The following is a 6000-nucleotide window of genomic DNA, read 5'->3' as shown; positions in this document are numbered from 1 at the left end:
GGGTATTCGCTAAGGTGCCTCCTATTACTTTTTTGTGCAACAATCTTGGTTAATTGAAAACTGAGGCAATCTAATAAAGCAAGATCTCTGGAGACTCAGATAACACTAAATGAAAGTTTGGTCAGCATCCCCATCTTCCTGAGGTACTAGAAAAATGTAAGAGAAACAACAACGAAAAAAGGTGGTGGAAGAAGGTGACTATAATCATCAGCTTAAATATTGTGGCCAGCACAGACTCAGGGAGTGAGATGTTTTCAGTGAATGCTTTCTTTCTTTTATTTACCTCAGCCCTGACCCCAGATACCTTAATGTAAAAGGTGCTAGTGATGGCTAACAATTAAATATTAAGTGAAAGTGAGTTAACACTACTATGCAATGATATGCTAGGGGACAGGGTTTGTGTCTCCTGGAGTGGGGGACAACAACTTTCCAATAATATGGCAGAGAAGAGTAGTTGCTCAGGTTCAGAGGACTGATTCTTTAAATTTTATTAAATGCTTGTGATTTGCTAAACACCTGTGCTGAAAATGCAAAGTTTAAAGAAAATAGCTCTTGCTTTTTTTTTTTTTTTTTTTTTTTTTTTTTTTTTTTTGAGATGGAGTTTCACTCTTGTTGCCCAGGCTGGAGTGCAACGGCATGATCTCGGCTCACCTCAACCTCCGCCTCCCGGGTTCAAGCAATTCTACTGCCTCAGCCTCCAGAGTAGCTGGGATTACAGGCACGCGCCCCCACACCCAGCTAATTTTTGTATTTTTATTAGAGACGGGGTTTCCCCATGTTGGTCAGGCTGGTCACAATCTCCTGACGTCAGGTGATCCGTCCGCCTTGGCCTCCCAAAGTGCTGGGATTACAGGCGTGAGCCACAGTGCCCGGCTGCTCTTGCCTTTTTAATAAACCCAAAATTTGGAAAAGAAGAAGAAAAGGAAAAATTTACTAACAATTCTATGACCTTAATCCAAAACTTAGCATTTTATTGTATTTTTTTGATTTCTACTTTTTCTCAAATTTAATATTTTAGATCATACCATAAGAGCAAATTCATACAGTTTTTCTCCAGTGTAATGGATGTCTTCCTTCTCTCCCTCCTGATCTATGTGTGCTTTTTTTCCTGTCCTGTGCCTTGGGAGGCTGATGGGTACAGATGACCTCAAATGTGTGCTTGCCCTCCAGCTTTGCCATGCGGGGGACCTGAGCTGGTTATTGGAGAGGAGAAATGGTATTAGAATATTTATTCTGCTGGATCCCTCCATATGGGGTGGCTTTGAGATGGTGTGTCCCTTGGTTTAAAGAAGTCACAACCGCTGTCATCGCCGACTAGGTGTCTCCAAGACACTCTTTTTCCAAGTTCTGGCAATTGCTTTTTTCCCTCACCTCATTAGGCTTAGAGCTAGTGACAGCTCTCCTGTTACTAGCTCTGGGGTACAGCACTATCTCAGATGGTTTCCTATTCTCTGTACACTCTTTGTAAATTGATTATTTCCTGAACCTGTATCAAATTATTCCAGGTTGACTTTATCATCTGTTTCCTTTTAGAACCCTGAATGATATTTGTAATAATACAATATAAAGCCTGGATGAATGCATCATAATTGACTCAATTTTTTTCCTATTAGTGTTATTTATAATTATTTATTAGTTTAATGCTATAGCAAACCTTTTGCCAATGGCTCATTCTCTCCTCTTCTGTTTCTTCCTTTTCCTAACATTTAAAAAAATTTTTGCGGCTGGGTACGGTGGCTCACACCTGTAACCCCAGCACTGTGGGACACCAAGACGGATCACGTGAGGTCAGGAGTTCGAGACCAGTCTGGCCAACATGGTGAAACTTTGTCTCTACTAAAAATATAAAAAAAATTAGCTGGGTGTGGTGGTGGGTGCCTGTAATCCCAGCTACTTGGGGGAGGCTGAGGCAGGAGAATCACTTGAACCCGGGAGGTGGAGGTTGCAGTGATCCGAGATCATGTCATTGCACTCCAGTCTGGGCAACTAGAGCGAGATTCCATCTCCAAAAAAAAAAAAAAAAAAAATTGCTTATATTCTGAAAATTAGAAATATAGCCCCAAACTAGCTGAAATATTTCCAAGTCTCTTAGTACAAATTATTAAAATGTTTTGTAAAGTATTAAACAAATTCATACTACTGCATACAATAGATATGTGTGATATTTTCTCTACATCCTTTCTAATGTTAAATGTTCTTAAAAATAATTTTGCCAAATCTATGGTTTTAAAAAATTAATTCTTTATTCTTAAAATGTATTACTCTCTTAATTACTGATGAGCTTAGATCTTCTACCACATGCTTATCAGGTATCTTTTCCTTATATGTGAATTTCTGTGAATGTTTTTGCCCATTTATTGATCTAGAACTTAGTGTTCTTTTATCCTGACTGATATAAGCCATTTATAAGAAAGAGTTATCACATTGTTTAGATTTGCTGGAACTATTATTTCAAGTCTGACTTCAGCTTTTCTATGTCTCTGTGTTAGGATTTAAAAAATTAAATTCTAGGCACTTGAACCTGTTGATCTCCTTTGTGTTTTATTCTATGGCTCTAAGCTTGGAAAGTTCTTACTCCTATGGAGATTAAGTTCTTATTCACCTTTTTCCCTCTAGTTTTTCTAAGATTTGATATTTTTATATTTAATTCTTTAACTCATCTAAAATTGATTTCTCTGCATTATATGAAATAAGTGTTTAAAATAGATTTTCCCCTCTAAATTGTTATCAGGAGGTCCCAGCACCATTTGTTAAATGATACTTCCTTTTCACATTGGTATGTAATGTCTCCTTTATCATGCATTAAATTCTTATACATACTGGAATCTATTTCTGGGCTGTTTTATTTCATTGATCTGCCTGTCTATTCTTGTGCCAGTATCATACTTTCAAAAAGGACTTCATCAGATATGTTTGCAAGAAGACACACAGGAAAGAAATAGACTGACCATTTGAGGCCAATTGTAAAATTTTGGTTTAACAGAGAGAAAACCATATTCTTTGGTTTTTAAAATTTTTCCTCTTCTTTCAAGAAAATATCTCATTTTTTAAAAGAAAGCAATTATTTATCAACATAATATTAGAAGCTAAAAGTATGTGAAAAGTTGTAAAAATAAAAAAAATTACCTGTTTAAAAGCAGCATAATTCTTCTGCCCTATATAAGTTACTGACATCTTCTGTAGTCCAGGAATTGTGTCTGAACCTTAAATAAATAGTTTTATTTAACCCTCAGATAATTATTTTGTGGGACACATGTTATTATTCCTATTTGTCAAGTCCTCAGAATTTCTCAGGGCTTTACAGCTCAACTAGGATTCAAAATAGACCTCCAGTAACAAAGACAAACAACAATAACAACAACAACAACAACACCTTCTCGTGCTGCATAATGACACTTTGGTCAATGATGGACCACATATAGGACGGTGGTCCCATAAGATTATAATGGAGCTGAAAAATTCCTATTGCTCACTATAGCCATCATGATGTCACAGTACAATGCACTACTCATGTTTTTGGTGATGCTGGTGTGAACAAACCTACATTGTATCACCAGTCATATAAAAGTATCACGCATTCCATTAAGTACAGTACATAATAGTTGATCATGATAATAAATGACTATATTACTGGTTTATGTCTTTACTATCCTATACATTTTATTGTGATTTTAGAGTGTACTCCTTCTATTTCTAAAAACATGTTTGCTTTTTTAACTGTAAAACAGTATGCCATGTTACACGGGCGGCAACCTTACACATCTCTTTACAATCTCTTTATTTCATCACTTCCTGTTGTGCTTGATTTAATCTGGTGGTGTTTTGTTCATTGTGGGACCCTAGGCATGCAAAATTTATGGCTAATGCTGTCAGTAAGAGGACTTATCAAGTGACTGACCTGGAAACAAAATTAAAAGTGATGACAGACAACGAAGGTGGAAAATCAGTGGTGGTTACTGTTTGCCAGGAAGGCAAGTCCCATTCCACCATAGCTACTATCTTGAAGAACAAGAACAGAGGGACAGAAACTGTTAAAAGATCTGCTTCACTGAAGACAACAAGGCTGAGAAAAATTCAGGAGGGGCCCATATCAGATAGGGAGACACTTCTAATGACCTGGATTGAGGACCAGACTCAGAAGTCTATCCCTCTTAGCATGATGATGATCATGGGCAAAGCAAAAAGTTTGTTTGAGATGTTGAAGGAAAAGGCTGAACCCAACTACCATGCTGCATTTACTGCCAGCCCTGGGTGGTTTAAAGAATCACTATTCATGACATATGTGAAAGTAAGTGGTGAGTCTGTGCATGCTGATGTGAAGGCAGATGAAATTTTGAAAATTCTAGCAAGCTGATTGTGGAAGAAAATTACTTGCCAGAGCAAATCTTCAATATGAATGAATCCTCCCTATTCTGGAGAGGGATGCCTGAAAATGACTTTTATACATAAGGAGGCCAAGTCAATATTTGGTTTCAAGGCTTGTAAGGACAGGATAATAGTCTTACTTGGGAAGAATGGTACAGGCTACAAATTGTAACCCTTTGTGATCTGGCACTGTGAGAACCCAAGGGCCTTCAGGCGTATCAATAAGCACACATGGCCAGTGTACTACAGGAGCACTAAGAAGTCCTTTTCCAAGCGCCTTTTCCAAGATACACTTCCAAATTGCTGTATCAGTGAATTGGAGAATTACTGTTTGGAGAATAACATAGTCTTCAAGATTTTGCTTATTGTTGATAATGCTCTTACACATCCTCTTTCTTTCCAATATCGAGGTGTCATTTGTCCTTCCAAACACCACCCCTTTGATCCAACCAATGGATCAAGGAGTAGCAGCTTTTAAGGTCTACTACGTGGAGAGGACCTTTGCCCAGGCTATTGCTGCAACTAAGGAAGACACTGATGCAATTCTGGAAGGATTACAACATCTATGACTGCATCAAAAATTTTGTTTGGCACATTTGTTCTCACTTATAAGTGGGAGATGAACAATGAGATCGCATGGACACAGGCAGGGGAAAACACACACTGGGGCCTGTCAGTGGGTATGGTGTGGGGAAGGAGAGCATTAGAAAAAATGGCTGATGCATGTTTGCTTAATACCTAGGGGGTGGGTTGATAGGTGCAAGAAACCACCATGGCGCATGTTTAGCTATATAACCAAACCTGCACATCCTGCACATGTACCCCAGAACTTAAAATAAAAATTAAAGAAAGGAAAGCAAATAAATAATAAAGTCTAGAGCAAAGAAAAAAAGATTTTTTGTTGGGCTTGGGATGATGCTGTCAAGGAGCGTACGAATGGCATCTGAAAGATAACACTCAAGAAGTTTGTCCCTGGCTTCAAAGGATTTGTCAAGGACGAGGAGGTTGCAAAAACCAACAAGGCTGTGGTTGAGATGGAAAACAAGTTTAACCTGGATGTGGAGGAAGATGATATTGAGGAGGTCCTAAAGGTCCTGAGGAACTGAATAATGAGGAGCTATTGGAAGTGTAACAAGAACATAGTTGGAGAAGAGGCAAGAGAAAAGGAAACTGCAAGTGAGAGAGAAAAAAAAAAGAACCCCCAAGAAAATTTACAGTGAAGGAGTTAGCAGAAGCTTTTGCAGACCCTAACAAGTGCTTTAAAAGATCCCAACAACGAAAGGTTTACACTAATACAGAGGAATGTTTATGGTGCATTACCTGCGGAACGCAAATTTATAATGGGAAAGAAAAACAAGCCAAGCAAACCACCATAGATATATTTCTAAAAAGAGTGACACCTCTGCAAGAAAAGCCTCAGGCAGTTTCTTCCAAAGGGGTTTGTACCCTGAAAGACACAATCTCAAATGCTGTAATCCCAAATATTGAAATCCCAAAAGATTAACATCCCTAAAGTCTAAAACCCCTAGTGTCTAAAATCTCAAAAATTCACACAGGATAGTTGCATCATGTTAGGTAGGAATGCTACCATGTTATTGGCTTTATGCAGAAAAAATTGATTTTAATTGAATCCCC

At 38.0% G+C, this 6000-nt stretch overlaps 1 long non-coding RNA gene across 1 annotated transcript in view; it reads right to left on the bottom strand.

The window, feature by feature from the left end:
* Window positions 1-983: 983 nt before the first annotated feature.
* The window catches only part of LOC105373013 (uncharacterized), a 30333-nt gene continuing 25316 nt past the window's right edge, over window positions 984-6000 (bottom strand). Inside the window, exon 3 of the long non-coding RNA XR_001755610.2 lies at window positions 984-1193. This is a non-coding gene — a long non-coding RNA (uncharacterized LOC105373013). The remainder of the gene's footprint in view (window positions 1194-6000) is intronic.

This window comes from Homo sapiens, chromosome 22 (assembly GCF_000001405.40).
Source record: "Homo sapiens chromosome 22, GRCh38.p14 Primary Assembly".
NCBI lineage: Eukaryota > Metazoa > Chordata > Mammalia > Primates > Hominidae > Homo > Homo sapiens.
This window is presented reverse-complemented; position numbering and strand designations above follow the sequence as displayed.